The following is a 17,738-nucleotide window of genomic DNA, read 5'->3' as shown; positions in this document are numbered from 1 at the left end:
TGGTTTGGAGAAGTTGAGTTTGAGATGCCTGCAAGTCAGGACACCCAGTATGCACTCAGATTGGACACCTGAGATGGAGTATATGTTCAGGAGTACTCAGTACAGCAATAATAACTACAGCCTATGAGGGGATGCAATTGCCAGAGAAATGGCAAAATAAAAAGAGGGGGACTGAAGAAGGAGCAGGAGTAGGCCCCTGGGGTGGGCTACAAATTTCCATCCCAGGGCACATAGGAAGTATGGACTTCCTGGAAACTCAACTTCCATGGACCCACAATGCCTCTGGGGCCCATCCCACTCAGAAGGAGGTGCGGCTAATGCCAGGGCCAGTCTCCTTCCTCAATGACCCTTCTGACCTTGAGCTCCACTTTTTACATTCAGACCTAAGCTCCTTGCACATATTTGATGAATGAATGAATGAATGCTTCACAGATAAGTCCTTAGTCATACCAGCATTTATGCGCTTTTGCAATGCCAAACAAAAATGAAATAGAGGCCAAAGGTGAATGCAATTGATGTGTATGGGTGCTGGCAAAATGAAGAAAGCAATTTAAAGCACATATTGGAGAGGAATCAGGGACCATGGATATGGGAGTTTTACATCAACTTTGGGCAGAGCAGGGGTGGAGACAGTTATTGACAATTCTCTCTCTTATAATCCCCTATCCCCCTTCTCCCAGTTCAGTTCAATAAATACACCCAAAAATAAGTTCTCTCTTTCTATAGACAGTCAAAAAATATCTGACAAGAAGCAGGTCAGCAAAAATGGTAGTTGTATCTGCAGTATGGAAATCACCAAAGGAAACCATTGTTTGTTTGGAAATTAATGCCTGTTAGAATCAGTAATACATTGGAAAATTGATATTGACTACAATGTGTTTGTGGGTGGCTTTCAGCAGGGTTGGAAGGTCCATTAGCTTCCTTTTTACCGCAGAGTTTAAATAAGCAAGTCACAGTGCACAATAGTTATAAGGTCCCTGTCCGCCCCATTCCTAGAAAAGAGTACCTGACACCTAATAAGAGCTCAGGGAACATTAGCAACTATTTGTCAATTTGTGTTTTCGGTGTTAGTGTTTTGTCATTTGTTGGTTTTAAAAATCACCGTGAATTAACAACACTTGATATAATGAAGGATTTAGTGCATATGCCAATGTCACCTTATGCCTGGCTCTGTGCTACAGACTCTCAGGGAACTCAGAAGTAAGACAAAGTCCCTCTCAGGGTCAGAACCTAACCCACCTTTAACTAAAAAGGGTTTATACCAGCATCTTTGCCAACCACTTTGTTTTCCAGATGAGGGAATCTGAAGCGATAAAGGCCTAAGTCTAGAACTCAGTTTTCCTGAGTCCCAGTTTAGGGAACTTTCAACTATAGTATCAGATCTCTTCTGTACTTGAAATTTTTATAATTGTATTAAAGGAAACACAAGAAATACTTACAACAATGAAAACTAATGTGTTTGCAGTTTATGGTTCAGGGTCTACTGGCAACAGTGTTCTGAGAAGGGGGGAGACTCAGAGGCAATGTGGTATAAAGGGATTGTAGTTAGAGAGTCATGGGTTCAAATCCCAGCTAGCAGGATGACTGGAGATAAGCTACCTAACCCTCATGAGCTTCTTTAAAATGCAAATAAAATAGTAATACCTACCTTAGAAGCAGCTCTCAGGAAGAAACAAAATAAAGCATGAAAAATGACTAACAAGGCACCTGGCACATTAGACAATATGTGTTAGCTTCTTCCCTTTTTTTCTCTCCTTGTAGTACAAGTCAGGGGTTCATAGAGAATATAGACTGGCAATGAACCCTAAGCAATATAGCTGGTTTTTTTGTTTGTGGTTTTGTTTTTTTTGTTTGTTTGTTTGTTTGTCCCTGAGTTGGTGTGTTGAGGTTTGCCATCCAATATCCACAGTGCCCAAGGCCTGAGCTGTGAATTCCGATTATCAGGGTCATTGCTTACTTGAACTTGCTTGCCAGGGAGTAGGGTGTCTCAGCTCCTCCCCAGGTTCACTCTCTAGAGCATGGTCCAGGAAAACAGAAAACAATTGTGCAGCAGCCTTCCTTCCCACCTACTGCATGCAGCCCTGCTGACTTCCCAATATGCAGACCAACAATGCAAAACCAAGGTCTCCACAAAGGCTTTCATCTTTATCTCTTCCTTCTCCTAAGAACCTTTGAGAACATCTGGATTTCTTTCATTTATCCAGAGGACAGTCCCCTCAAAAATAACTGAACCAAGTCGAAGTTCACTGACCGCACTGAGGTGCTTGCCAGAGCTCCCTGGGCCCATGGGTGATTGTGCACTGACCTTGACTAACTCATCCACTTGGGGCCTGCACTCAGTCTTCATCACCAGGTCTCCCTTGGAACACTCCATCTCTCCTGATAATGACTGAAATCCACTCAATCACCCTCCTCCCTGGGCTGTACACATTGTGAAAGCAGACATATCACAAGAGTAACTCTCCTTGTTCCAGAACTGCTCATGCAGAGTCAAGAAGAGACGGCACAAACACAAAGACACAGGGTGTCATGCCCATACACTCCCTACACCAAGAAGACACCCCCACAACACACAGATATGCGGGAGCACAGAAAGACACCCAAGCACACAAATTATGGTACACACACACTCATCCGCACAGCTTCACACAAGAGCAATCACACATGTTCTGCATATAGACACACACCTCTGCAGAGACTACCATGACTGTGCATGTCTCTGTGTCTACCCAGGTACTATGTGTACCCCTCTCCAAAGCTTCCCCACTTGCAGCTCCCCCTGGCAGGGTAGTTCAGCTCTGGAGTCAGAAGAGAATTTGAATTCCTGTTCTAACTTTTCTACTCTATAGCCATGAGCCTAGAGCTTGGGCAGGTTGTTCAACCTTGCTGGCTTCCTTTTCTTTATCTATAAAATAGGGGAAATAGCAGTTTCTATCTATAATAATGTTTGTTTGGTGTTTTCCTCACAGGGCTGCTATGAGTTTTAAATGGGATCATGTATTTGAAGTGTCTGGCGCACTGCTTACCAAATAGTTAATGTTCCATAAATGATGCAGGCAGGTATAACAAGCCCACAATCACAGAATCCAAAAAGATTAAAAAACCAAAAGGTTTTTCAAAACCTGACCTGGAGAGACATGAGGCTTTTTATAATGCTTACTCACCCCACTTAGGATCAATGTTCATAACTTTTGCTGCAGAAGTGTGAGTATGTTTGGTTAGAATACTGCCCCAGTTGCTACTGGGGTTTTGCTTTATACGCATTATTTATCGCTTTACCTTTGGGAAGTTTGAAAAATTCGATTTTGAAACAAGTATGGTCCCACGGATTTGGACAAGAAACTGTAAACCAGAATTATCGTTAATATCATTATACTTTTTAACAAAAATAAGAATATATTATATGTAATAATAACATTACGATAAGATTCAATAGTACTGGAATAACAGCTCTCATTACTGTCATTACACTCATACTCTCTGCCTTTCTAAGGCATACATTTAAGTGTCAGCTCTGATGGTGAGCTCACACATTAGCCTGCCTTCCTTTCCCCCCTCACATACCAAGTCACTTTCTCCTGCCGTCATTTCCCCATTTCAGGACGGATTGAAGCTTCTCACAACTCGCCAGCGCAATGAGAATCTAGGCCATCGAGGCTGCCCTGGTCTTGCTCCTGCCCAGCCTTCCTTGGCTTGCAGCACATCCTGACCTCTCTTTCCAGCCCCCACTCTGTCACACACACACACTGGACTCTGATGTCCCCAGTCCATGGCTCTATGTGAGGTAGTGTTTCAGCACTGATGGGGTGTGGAGAAGAGGAAGCATCTCTCCTCATGTGTGCTGTGAGACTCTGGACAGCAGAGGTCTCAGAGCTCATTTCCTTGAATCCCTCACACATGTCTGAGGACCAGAACCATAAAAATGATTCGTAGATACCAGTGCATCCAAGACATTTACTTGCCTTTCTTCTCTCTTGTAACCCTGAGTACACTCAGGCCCTCTCTAAGTCCCTGTCAATGAGACTTCAGGCCAGACCTGCACTTTTCTGCACTGGTGGCTTTAAAGTTGGTCTTCAGTGTTTGGTGCTCACTAGAATAACCTGGGGAGACTTTTAAAAATCACAGTAGGGGCTGGGCGCGGTGGCTCACGCCTGTAATCCCAGCACTTTGGGAGGCCGAGGCGGGCGGATCACGAGGTCAGGAGATCGAGACCATCCCGGCTAAAACGGTGAAACCCCGTCTCTACTAAAAATACAAAAAATTAGCCGGGCGTAGTGGCGGGCGCCTGTAGTCCCAGCTACTTGGGAGGCTGAGGCAGGAGAATGGCGTGAACCCGGGAGGCGGAGCTTGCAGTGAGCCGAGATTGCGCCCCTGCACTCCAGCCTGGGCGACAGAGCGAGACTCCGTCTCAAAAAAAAAAAAAAAAAAAAAAAAAAATCACAGTAGGTGGCCCACATCCCAGACCAATTAATTCAGAATCTCTGGGGATGAGACCCAGGCCTCAGCATTTTTTTTAAAGCTCCCCTGTATTTCCACTGTGCAACCAACACAGACAGTCCTGTGCTCTGGACCACTGGAAGGAAGACCACACCTGCATGTATTATTAAACCTCACTACATGATTGTTTCTTGTCAATCCCAGGAGCCAGAGACTTTGGGGTAAGTACTGTGAGGAGGAGAATCTCCCACAGAAACCCTGGATGTGTTGCCCTGGAAAAAGAATCTGGAAAGAAGGCAGCAGCAGAGCAGATCCTTGGAGGACTGGGCAGGGGACAACCCCAGAACCAGAGCTCCTGACTGGGCTCAGTGGTAACTTGAGGCCTATGGAAGGTAGGGTTGCCAGATAAAATACAGGGCACCCAGCTAAATCTGAATTCCAGATAAAGAGCAAATTTTTTTTTAGTTTCAATATCAAATATTGCATGGGATATACTTATACTAAAAATTATTCTTTATCTGAAATTCAAATTTAACTACACATTCTGTAGTTTTATTTGCTAAATTTGGCAATGTTAGGGGGGACAAATTCACCCTGATTGCCTCCCACCTGTGTTGTGAAAGTTTGTTTATGCAAAAAAGAAGGAAAGCAGTCATGTTATTCCAGACGGCATTCGTTCCATTTGCCAAATAAATAGAACTTGCATTTTCCTTTATAAAAAATAAAAATAAAACTTTGTCACATTTCTTTCTTTTTTCTTTTTCCAGAGACTTGATCCTACATTTTATGCTGACACCTTAACTCTTTGTCAAAGGCTATTCCAATCTGTAATGGAAGGAATTCAGGGATGCCTTCCCTTTCTGTGTGCATTGTATAAAGATAGAATTGGAGATTCGCTGGCAGAAATACCCTCAGCTGCCTCTCTGGTCTTTTCCAGCAACTCCCAGAAGAGCCCTGATCTCAGGGCTCTTGTCTGCCCCAAGCCTGGGAAGCTTTGCTCAGGGAAAGAAGAACAGAGGGAACTGGGCTGCAACGGAGATGGTGTTAATTGGAGCAAAAGATTTTGCCTACTGGAAATAGTAGCTGTAAGCGAGATGAGATCCAAAGAACCCAGTGAAACTCTTCGGGCCTGCCTGCAGCCTGGCTCCTCCAGGGAAGACAAGACTGAACCCCCATTGAGGCAAGGCAAAAAAGGCTCAAAATGAATCAATTAACAGCACATATAAGATAATAAATGCCTGTATTTTTTTTTCTTCTGTCTCTGTGTGAATGTTAAAGCTTATTCTAAAAGGAGAAATATTTGCTCCACATCCTCAGGATCTGCCAGTCAGGTCAATTCAAGCTTCAACGCTGAAGGGTCATGAAGGATGGCCTTGGCTGGGAGATGTTACCTTACTGTCCGCAGCCTGCTGGAGCTGTGCTGGCCCCTCGGCTGGGTACTTTGCAGACCCCTGAGGCACTGGTTTTGGTTAGGTCTGGCTTCCTCAAGGCAACATCTTCCCTTATCTCAGGAGCCTCCCAACTGAGACCATCCCGCTTCTGAACCCCACAGCCCAGTGCTGCATCTCTCTTATGTAACCTTGCACCTCTCAGCCATCATCATTGATGTGCATCAAGCCTACCAGACACGTGAGGGTGGGAAGGGTATACAGTGCCCATCCCATCATCCTTTCATCCATGCATTAGCTAGCCCAGTGCATTGCTGTGAAATATTTGATGGATGAATGAGTGAAGAAATAAAGAGTGACAACCACCTTCCCTTTAAATATACATGCTTGCTATCTCCTTCATCTTTCCAATTGCCTCATCAGAGCAGAAGGGCTACAATTATTAAGCTCAACTTGCAACCTAGAAAACCAGGTTGGGATACATGACTTTCTCAAATGGGTTTTAACTCACTTGTGGCAAAGCCAGATTAGCGGTCCCCACCCTGGAGTCCTGCCTGGGTGCTATTTCCTGGCACAGCACTGCCTCTTCGCCAGGCTGCTGAGAGAAAGACACATTGGACATAAATCTCCCAATGCTTGAGAGTTTATCAACAAAAACATGGAGACCTGATATAGTCCATCTCTTCCATAACAAATAAATAATACCTAGTAATAGTTGTATCAAAATATTAGGGAAAGGACAGAAACTGCAATGCATGTTACTTGGGTAAAATACACAGACTGTATCCTTTTGAGTAAAAATTGTAGTCAGCTAGAACTTGTTTCCCAAAAAGGAAATCAAAGCTTTCCAAATCAAACAGCATCTCTTTGGGGCCGATTTATTTATTTAGTCATTAAGTAAAGACTTGCTGTGTGCCTGTTCTGGGCCAGGCATTACTTTAAAGGCTGGGATAGAGTTGGGGAGTGAGTCAGGGAGGCTTTCTGCCCTCATAGAGTTTCCATGCTGGTGTGGGGAGATGGACAATAAAAAATAAACCCAACAAACAGGCAACACAGTGCCAGGGTGTCATCAGTGCTATGAAGAAAATAAAGCGGGGTGGTGTAGGAGAGAGGGCGAGTGAGGGGCTTCTTTAACCTGGTCAAAAAAGGCCTCGTAGTCGAAGCGACATTTGATCTGAGACCTGCCTGACAGGAAGCAGCCAGCAAGAGCAAGTTGTAGAGCAAGAGCATCCCAGGCAAAGGAAACAGCCAGTGCCCAGGAACCGAGGTGGGGACAACCTCAGGGCCTCTGAGAAACAGTAGGTGGAGTGGGATGAGCAAACAGAGAAGCAGAACAAGAGATGACATCAGAGAATCTGGCAAGGGCCAGACCCCAGGAAACTCAACTATGTGGGCTAGGGTAAGAAATTTGCATCTTATCCTCAGCATGATAGAAAGACCCTGGCGGGTTTTGAGCAGAGGAGTGCATGGTTTCATTTATGTCCTAAAAATACCATTTGACTTTGTGAAGAGTAGATTTAGGTAACAGGTGAAGGCAAGGGGATGAGTGAAAAGAAGATTTTGCAATATTCCTGATTGTGAAGATTGTGGCCTGCCCTGGGTTGAGAGAGAACAATTTAGAAGAATGAAGAATATGTTTTTAAGCAAAGTCAGTAGGATTTGTCAATGAAAGATATCCAGGGAATAGAAGAGTGAGATAGATTAGAATTAGGCTTCTGCTTGGCTTGAGCAACTAGGTATATGGTGGTGGTGGTGCCATTGACTGAGACTTGTAAAAGAGAAGTTACAGAAGGAAGCAGAGCCTCCTTTGGGGATGTTTGAGGGTTGGGATTCCTATTAGATGAAAAAGTAGAGGTGAAGAGAAAACAATTGGGTACCTGAGTCTCAAGATCATGGAACAGGCCAGGTGTACACACTTGAATAATTTTGGAGTTATTGATATAAGGTTAGTAATTAAAACCACAAGGTGAAGAAATTTCCCTGAAAACAGAAAGTGTTTGTAAAGGAAAAAAGAGAGCCGAGCACGATGCTCTAGGTATTCCAACATTCGGGTGGGTGGGAGGAAGAGTGAGTGAGACAAGGGCAGTAAAGCAGGAGAAAAATTAGAAGAGTCCAGAATCCAAGAGAACTGGGGAACTAAAGAAATCATGAAAGGCTTCCTGGAGTAAGTGGTATTCAAACCAAGCCTTGGAGACTGGGTGGTGTTTAGATCAGTGTAGAGCAGTGAAGTGCATTCTGGGTGGATGTAAAGGTGTGAGCAAGGCCTTGGAGTGGGGCCCAGGCAGTGAGGATCTGCGGACAGGAAGAGGAAGAGGCAGGTGATAGTTACTAGGATCACTGCCCTTGTGTTGGGTGCCCCAAGTGACAGACAAAGCCAGGGCTGTGTGAAGGCAGGAGGAAACCAAAGCTGACTGCATCTTCTACACCCCTTGTCCTGCCTGCGCTTCAGATACCTTAAATGCCCTGGGAGTCGGGCCTGGGCACCTAGGGCTGTTGCTTTCTCCCTCCTCCAGGCCCATCAGCAAAGGGCCATGCAGCAGGCTGTCCAGGCCCCAGGGTACTTTGCCCACTATGCAGCCAGACCATCAGCTTCCCTGGCTCAAACCTGCTCCTTTTACTGCTGTCTGCTTTTGGGAGGGATGCCATGGGGAGTCTTTAACCCAAGAATTCAGGAAATTAGCTCTACGTCAAGCTCCACTCTCTCCAACCAACTTTCTATAAACCCCTCTCTGCCCCAAATTAAGGTGCTTTCTTAATTAAGGTGATCTCCTAGTTTCTCTGTAAGCAAGGGTACTTTGTTTTCCAACTTTCCTTCTCATCTACTTCTAAAAATTTGCTTAATGGTCTCAGTTTCTCTAGATTCCTCTTATATTGAAGAAAACTTAACCTTTACCGAGACAAAGAAGCTGAGTCCAGCCTGGGCAAAACACACATCATCGGCAGTGTCCTCTAACACTTGTGGACTGGAAAAATGCTTCTCATCTTGAAGTCTGAAAGCAAGGAGAAGTCTAGAGCTGGAATGGAGCTTCAGCTCTTCAGGAGGAACCTGTATCTCACAGGGAAAGCCAGCCAGACCAACGCAGGGATGAAGTCTCATGGGTTCACAGGGAACACTTCCTGGAATAAGAAAGAGAGCAGATTAGATGATTAGTGCATGGGCATATTCAGCCTCCCCCAACAGAAAGGAAGCCCCCACAAGTGTAAGCACACACACACAAACATGCACACATTCTACACACAATTATGCTCACATATCATAAACTCATGCATACAAAACACCTGAGTGATGCTGTTAGAGGTCCCTCAAATATGTCCCCTTGGTAATTTTCATACTTTCACATATATATGCATACAGTTGCACAGTATTCACTTTCAGTATTGTACAGCATTCACTACCTACAATTAGGGAGGACACTGGGTTTTCTAATAACTAATGCTTTATCTACAATGTACCTCCTGCTGCCTGGAGCTCCCCCCGCACCCCCGCCCTCATCATCACCTGATTTTGCTGAGGGGTGATGGGCTGACTCCATGTGTTTGGGACATCCTGCTCTCAGTTCTGTCTCTCTGTCCTGTCTACTGACACTAGCTACCCAGCTGTAACCATTTGCACATGTTAATGTCTTATTTGTGTCTCTTCATGGGTCTTTTAAACATGTATGTTTGTCCTAAATACTGGCCTGTGGCAGAAACCACATTTCTCAAATTAGGCCAGGAGGCCTGAGGCTCCCCAGGGTGCAGATTGTTTGTCTTCCACCAGACTTCAGACACCTGGTGATGATGTGCCTGTCAACCCACTTGAGCTGGAGGCTGCTCGAAGGCTGAGGCCTTCACTTCTATTTCACTGGCACCCTCTGTCTGGCCCACACCAGGGCTTGGCCCACAGGGGATGCTCTGCAGGCGTCATGGGACTATTTGAGATTAGTGGAGTTATGGGCCTCCTTCCTCCTAAGTACTGGTGTACTGGCCATCCTCTTTTCAGCCAGTGCACACAGCGGGGCAGTTGTCACAAAGACCCATACCTACTTGTTCTCCATCACCAGGTCTGGAGGTGCAGGACTGCATAACCTCATCTGTGCACATCGGCCCACATAGGTCCAGTGTCAGAAGCATCAGGAGGACCCACTGGAGGCTCCTAAATCTCACCCACCTTCTGGTTGAAGACTGTTTTCTCTTCTACCACTTAAGACACAGAGGGAAAGTCTCCCTTGGAGGGTGTCACATGGACTTTGATATTATCTCCCTAACAGGTCAGCTCTCATCCTGGAGCTTCTTCGTGGGAGGGGCTGAATGTGAGATCTCTGGGTGCCTGGTCTTGGTGACAGCGATGGTGAAAAGCCTCCAGGGAAGGAAGGGTGAGTCACAGATGAGAGGCCCAAACTGAACTCTCGAACTGTATCTGTATTACTCAAGGTTTGCCAGAGAAACATAACCAATGGAATGGATGAAAGGATGAGTGGGTAGATGGATAGATAGATAGATGGTATAGACGATAGATAGATAGATAGATAGATAGATAGATAGATAGATAGATAGATAGATAGATAGATAATAGACAGATCGATAGATGGATGGATAGATAGATAGATAGATAGATAGATAGATAGATAGAGTGTATTTATTATGAGAATTGGCTCATGTGATTGTTGAGTCAGAGAAGTCCCATGATATGCTGTTGGCAAGCTGGAAAACCAGGAAACCCGGTGGTATAATTCATGTGAAGCCAAAGGCCTGAGAAACTGGGGGCCACCAGTATAATTCCCAAATCCCAAAGGCCCAAGAACATGGAGTTCTAATGTCCAAGGACAGAAGAAGATGGATGTCCCAGCTCAAACAGCGACAGCAAATCCACCTTTCCTCTGCCTTTTTGTTCTCTCGGGCCCTCAGTGAAATAGATAATGCCTGCTCACATTGATGAGGGCAAATTTTCTTTACTCAATCCACTGATTAAAATGCAAGGTTGTTCCAGAAACAACCTCACAAGCATCCTGATAAATAATGTTTTGCCATCTATCTGAGTATGCCTTAACCCAGTCAAGTTGACATCTAAAATTAACCATCATGATGTCCTATATACCTTGGTTCTTGCACTTTTTTCTTTTCTTTATTGTCTCTCCTCTACTCACCACTTTCTCTCCTACAGCCCACCTAAAGTGAAATAAAGACTATCTGGTACATACAAGTTTGTAGGGGCAAGCAAGAGCAACTGTTGTTTCAAGAAGGGGTTCAGCCTCCTAAACAGACAGCTAAGAACAGTTAGAATGTATAGACCACAATGGCCTTGGCTGACCTCTTTGGCCAGGACATCAGCATCTCCCTCTTCAGTGCTCCCATACCACTTTTACATTGCTATTACAGCAGCTCAGACAGGGCACTGGAGGTGGCTGTTGACCAGCACCTCTGGTAGATGGCAAACCACTTAAGTAGAAACTGGGTTTTATTTCTCTTCATATTCCAAGCACCTGGCACAGAACCCAACATGGCAAGCACTCTTAAATACTCACAAAAGAATTATGAACCAGGAAGAAATTTTATGGATCAGGTTCCCCAGAAAGCAGACTCTGAGATTAAAACTGGCAGCAGGGATTTGTTGGAAGGTGTTTTTTGGAATCTACAAGTTCCCTTGACAGGAGTGGGAGAAGGAGGATTGGGCAAATGGAGCAGTTGAATTGCAATGCAGTGACTATAGGAAGCTCTGGAGGTGAAAGGGCCATTCAGAATTATCCTGTCTTCATACTTCTTCATCCAGCAGTCTCTACATAGTGGACCAGTGTACCAACGCCCCCAGCAGTAGGGGGAAGGAGTGCTTCAGTGCTGGACAGGGGGTCTGGGGCACCAGGACATCCATCACAGGAAACTTGATGGAATAACAGTATTTCAGAAATGGAAAGAAATGTACTAGCAGAAGAGCCACAGAACCCAAGCCAGGAGCCCTGTGCACTAGTCTACACATGTTTTCTGATGTTGGACAAGTCATCAAGCCTCTCTAGCCTCTAGTTTCTTTTATGCTGGTGGCACATTAAAATCTCCTGAAAAGTTTTTAAAAATTACTAACTCTGGTCCCCACCTCACACCAATTGAATCAGGGTCTCAAAGGGTGAGTGTCTAGGCATCAGTGTTTTTAAAAACTTCCTCGTAATTTTAATAAGCAGCCAAGTTGGAAAACCAATGGAAAATATATGGGCCTTAGAACCTCTCCTAGGTGATTTATAATGTCTATGGTACTGGATTTCTAGTGTCTATGCTCTGTAGCCAAGAGCTGGCTCCTCTACGAATAGAAGGACGTACGTAACTTCTGGTTGCAGAAGCTTCCCCAAATTCACTCCTTGTTATGTCTCAATTGTATCCTCACAAATTTTGTATGTTGAAGTCCTTACCCCATTCAAGTACCTTGAAATGTGTCTGTATTTGGAGATGGAACTTTTAATTAAGTAAAAATGAGGTCGTTAGGGTGGGCCCTAATCCAATGTGATGGGTGTCCTTATAAGAAGAGGACATAGTTATGTAGAGAAGGATGACCATGTGCAGACACAGACAGAAGATGGCCATCTACAAGCCAAGGAGAGAGGCCTCAGAAGAAATCAACCTGCCAACTCCTTGATCTCCAACTTCCAGACTCCAGAATGGTGAAAAAATACATTTATTTTGTTTAAACCACCCATTCTGTGGTATTTGTTACGGCAGCCCTAGCAAACTAACAGAGTCCTCAACTCCAAACCCCTCTTCTTTCTCTCAATTTCTCTCCCCAGTTTATTCTTTCACTTCTCCCAGAAACCAAAGTTCATAACACTCTCAAAGTCTCCCAGCTCAAATGCTGATATCACAGGATAGAGCTCAGGAAACTTTCACCCCTGTGAAAAATCAGTGAAAGCAACTGCAGAACTGTTCCCCTGGCATTCTCTCACCTTTCCCTCCAGTCCATCATGAAGAAAGCTGATTAAAGTCCTTCCAGAACAGCCAGCCCATTGGGCCCATTCTCAGAAAACTCATTGAGGGATTTATGAGGAAAAGAGGGCAGTCATAAGAGAAGTTCTTTTCTGTGTGGAGTGGTGGTGTTATTAAGAGTTGAGGAAAGCCAGCCTGCCCATAATAATCCTCCTACCAGCCTCTGGCCAGTTCCTGAAATTCAACCATCCAGGACATACTTGTATTAGTCAAGGACTCTGCTAAAATGCCAATGCCAAAGAGATGGGAAAACAAAGCCATTATATGCTGTTTATACTTTAGGCTCAATTTGCTATTGAAGTTGTGTCCTATGGGTTAGTTTGATTAATGGTTGTTAAGAGAGAATTAAGGCATTAGTCACTTCAAAGAAAAAGCTGGACTTGTAGAAGGCCTGTTGCCTGCAAAAGCTGCCTGCTTAACAGTATTGGCCACTATTCCCTTTCTTATTTCACCATAAGTCCCCCAGCAAATAATCAGGGAGTATTCCCCAGCCTGCGTTTGCACTGAGCAATCTTAAACAAGCATTCCTAGGTTTCTCAGTTACACTCAAAAGGAGGCCAATCAATTTGTCCAAATAAATATATAAACACAAAGTGTTTTAAAAGCAAAGGGGAATGGAAGGAACTTCTAGTCAATCATCTTCCACTGTAAATAAATAGTGGTTTCCAACCCATTCCCTCAATGACCTAAAAAGTCCTGTGGACACAGCAATGTATTTCCTGGGGAGAGTTTCCCCCTAAGAATGCAATCTCGTAACTCATTCCTTTGCATCAACAGGAATGAAGTGTGAAAAATAAAAATGCTCTAAACAAGAGATGCAATTATTTTAGATTCTTTCCTACAGGAAAAGAAAACATCATCCTGGTATAATTTTCTCTTTACTTCCCTCCCTCATTCTTTCCTCCTCTTCTACCCACTGTTTAATGAGCCCCAGAATTTTCCTCCAGAGAACTTTTCCCCATCATATAACACAACCTTGGAAATAAACACTGGCTCCAGTTGGATGGCGTGAAAAAACAGGGTGGGCCTAAAGAGAATGCATTCACCGTAAGGGAACAGAGCAAGTCTGTGCATTGGGACAAGGCTGGATGGTTTCTGCTTTTTTCCATTCCCTTATTTAAGAAAACATTCTGAGACTGATGTTCGGCCTTGCCCTAGAATTTAGCCAACACAGAGCTTAGAGAAGGAGTATTTCAGAAGTGTATTATAAGACCCTGGGACTCAGCACTGTGAGCTTTACTATGAACCAGACGTTGAGCCCTGGGAGCAGTCTTGCTTGATTCTGGCCATTGCCTTCTTGCCTTGCTCTCATGCATGAATCCCTGTCTTGATCATCGATCTAGTATCCAGACCCTCCCTGCTCCAGACCCCAGTGGCCAGCCACGGAGATGGCCCTTGTGTTGACTAACCCCATGCTTACCTGCTGAGTTTGCCTAAATCAGCTTCCTGCTGTGTTCCTCAGTTTCATGCTGCCCACTGTTAGGGCCATGTTCTGCAGAGAAGCAGTAGAAGGAAGTTGTTAAGGGCATGAACCCTCCAATCAGCTAGCCTGGGGTGAGGTCCTGTACCATTTACCAGCTGTGTTACCTGGGAATGTCATTTCTTTACTCTGCCTTGGCTTTCTCATCTGTAAAAGAAAGATGAGTACCACCTGCCTCCCAGGTGGGCAGAGAGGAGAAAAGGTGCTGACACATGCAGAGTGCTAAGAACAGTGCAAGACACACAAACACATGGGGATTGTGAGCTTCCTCACAGTGGTTCCCCCTTGGGCTGCTTGCTTGAACAGCCACACCCTCTGAACACCACATTTTTCATCTACTGGAGTGTGCTCCCCACAGTATCTGCTGCACACATATGGGCTCATCTAATTCCAGAGCCCACTAAGATACTATAAATTAAACAGCAAAGAACACACAACATCTCAGCCGAAAATCATTTATTGAGCACGTACTATGTGCCAAGCACTATACTGGATGTAGGGTATGCAATTAATAACTTATATTCTCTTACCTTCTTAAGGAGCTGGGGGTCTAATGCATTTATAGAATGTCTCTAAAATCACAGTGGAAATTAATAGGAAAAAGAATCTTTGCATCCCCCTGACATGTGACCAGTGTGTACAGTTAGATTTCCCCGAAAGCTTGATCCTTTTGTTTTTCAGGACTGAATTCTCTGGGTTGGATGGGTGTGGGGCAGGGGTGGGAACTGAGTCAGCTATCTCAGCATCCCATGAAGACTGACATTCTCTGGATTGTGGGGTGAATGGATCTCCAGGGAAGAGATTCTGGGGAAGAGTCCCTTTGGTAGTTTTCCAGTTCTTAGATATAAAGCCCTTGCCACCACCAGGGGATTGTGTTTACTGTGGCTAACCTGGGAGGCACAATAGGGTTATAAAATTAGAAAGCCAGTCAGGTTGATGATCCCCGCCCCTTCTCTAATTCATTCCCTCACTGTCTCTATCACTCCAACTCTTAGGAATCCAATATGTTTATATGCATTCACTCTTGTTTTCATCCTCCCTATTAGGAATGAAAGGTGTTGCAGTGAGCATAGTTACTCTGTGGAGACAAATCGGAACGTGTTTCCTGTGCTGGGGCCTTCAGCCAGCACCAACTGAGGATGGCTCAGGGTCCTGGTGAGGAGCAGGGCCCATGCCAGCCTTCACAGCCCACAGGCAGGGTGGGCACATGCACTGGTTGCCTTGGCAGAGAAACTATAATATACGTGGAGGGATGAGGGGCTCAGGCTGCAGCATTTCAGTAGCACACCCCTATAGGACTGCCTGTTTAGTGCAGTAATCATGTTTCCCATAGAGCCCTGGGAGCCCCAAGGCAGAAGGTACGGTAGTTCTAGAAGCCTTCCCAGAAAAAAACAATGCATAAATTAGACTTAAGGAGGGTGCCAAAGAGGGTGATGTTTAACCCAAATGATATAATGTTTAAGCCAAGCAAGAAAAATACCTCGGGCAGCCTTTCACCGAGCCAAGACAGAATGATGGGCAGAGGCACGGAGCAGGGAGACCTTGCTGGCAGCCCTAAGCTTTGACACCAGATGCACTGCAAGGATATTTAAGATGGCTCTGCAAACAGGCTATGTAAACTGAATGAAAAATCAGAACCTGAGGTACAGGGTACCCTTTAGGAAGCTGGTTTCCCAGGCCTCAGCCTCTAGGGATTTCCCTGGAGGATTAGCCAAGAGTTCCCTGTGTGATGCCAGAGACCTAAGTGGTCAGCGTGTCCTTCCTGCCTTCCCCCCCTCCAACCTGCCCCTCAGCCCCCAGGAGTTGCTGCCAGGTGGGTTCCTTTCCTAGGTCTACTTCCATGAGATGGGTTTTCAGGAGGCAACACAGAGGCGTGAAAGACAGCACTTCGACTCTTCCTTCTTTGTCTTTTAACACCACGTTAAAATACGCCTGTACCTGGGAAGCCTGTTTATGCAGCAGCAGCATCAAAAAGCCATTTCCCTACTTCTCTAATACTTTTTCTGAGACACACAGTACCTCACAGGAACTAGAGCCGGAGCTCTTCTTCCTTCCGTCTGTGATCTTTGTGTGTTCATGGCTTCAGCGTCAACATCACGGAGACTAACAGAAGCACAGGGTCCCTCCGGGTCTCCTGAGGCTGCCCCTCCCTATAACACACACACACACACACACACACACACACACACACACACACAGAACCGATGGTCTCTTAACGAGTCCTTCCTTCCTTTTACTCTCCCTCCTTCCCTCCTCCCTTCTTCCCAGCACTATTTTAAGTGTGACTGTCACTCTCATCATGGTGTATGACAAGTATCCCTTCGCTTGCTGGGGTCCCCTACAGACAGCCACATGCCCCCAGGGAGCCGCACACAAAGCTACCCAGTGTAGATGCTCGATCCATGTCAATTGCTTGTTGCCTTCACTCACCCGTTTTCTTCTCAAGGAGGTCTTCTTCCTGGAAAAATGCAATCCAGTTTCATCACTCCAGCCTCCTAAGACCTCACAGGCATTATTTAGAGAGTTTATCCCTTTCAAACCAATACAGATTATCCCTTTCACTATACTAGTTTGCTATGCCTCCCTCCCTTTTAGGGTCATGTCCCCACATCTAGTGCAGAGCCAGCTCATGGTGAGATTTCAGTATTTGTGGGATGAACGAATGAGTGAACGTGTCTTCCATGGCAAGTGGACCCCAAGAAAGCAGGCGCACCATTTCACTTTGGTCTTGACCTGCCTTCCATACTCCTTACGTAATTCTACACATAAAGACACTCAACCACGTTAGCTAATGGTACTTGCAAAACCATTTGGATGTGTTTCTTTTGAGGGATGCCTGCATTTTGTGCTCTCTACCTCTTCAAATCTCACCTATCCCTGTCCTAGCCCATTCCCCACCTAGACAGCACTGCCTGGGAGTCTAAGCAACACTGCCATCCTATTAAAAGTCCTTGGTATTTGGGCTGTTTCCCCTGCACAGAGGACGGGTCCCCCAGTGCAGATGTGCAGTCTCTACTGCCTCAGCTGACCCCCAGGAAAGAGGGTGTCCTGGGCTCACCATGAACTCTGAAACTTCTGGTTGACCTGACTTGAATCACAGCTGCAATTCACTTCCCACAGGCTTCTTCAAGGGGCCATTTCCAAAACCTGAGCGCTATGGCCCTTGGCCCTCAGTGACCACAGACCCTCCCTCAACAAGGAACAAAAGGCTACTGAAGAAGTCATTGCTGTGCAGCCAAACTCCTCTTTATGCCAGAATTCTGTCTGGATTTCTGTCTATAAAAGGGAGCGCCCTTCTGAAGGCAGTATAAGTTGGTTTGATTTAGAAAACCCTTCACTTGCTGGGCTTCTCTATAGACAGCCACAAGCCCCGAGAGAGCCGCACACAAAGCTACCCGGTGTAGATGTTCGATCCATGTCAATTGCTTGTTGCCTTCACTCACCCATCTTCTTCTCAAGGAGGCCTTCTTCCTGGAAAAATGCAATCC

General features: G+C 45.4%; 1 protein-coding gene and 1 long non-coding RNA gene across 2 annotated transcripts in view; one reads left to right on the top strand and one right to left on the bottom strand.

Moving 5' to 3' along the window:
* LOC105372073 (uncharacterized) overlaps positions 1–5,689 on the top strand; it is a 40,272-nt gene extending 34,583 nt beyond the window's left edge. Inside the window, exon 3 of the mRNA XM_047437984.1 lies at positions 5,205–5,689. Within this exon, the coding sequence (XP_047293940.1) occupies positions 5,205–5,642 (438 nt within the window). The 3' untranslated portion in view covers positions 5,643–5,689. The remainder of the gene's footprint in view (positions 1–5,204) is intronic.
* Positions 5,690–8,401: 2,712 nt separating this feature from the next.
* On the bottom strand, positions 8,402–17,100 carry LOC102724417 (uncharacterized). Its single transcript, XR_001753556.2, has 4 exons — positions 16,681–17,100; positions 14,191–14,262; positions 12,731–12,944; positions 8,402–8,942 (listed from the first exon to the last, which is right to left on the bottom strand). It is a non-coding gene; the product is annotated as an uncharacterized LOC102724417 (long non-coding RNA).
* Positions 17,101–17,738: the final 638 nt, after the last annotated feature.

Source organism: Homo sapiens, chromosome 18, assembly GCF_000001405.40.
Source record: "Homo sapiens chromosome 18, GRCh38.p14 Primary Assembly".
NCBI lineage: Eukaryota > Metazoa > Chordata > Mammalia > Primates > Hominidae > Homo > Homo sapiens.
Note: the sequence above shows the minus strand (reverse complement) of the source record. Positions and strands in the feature narration are given on the sequence as shown.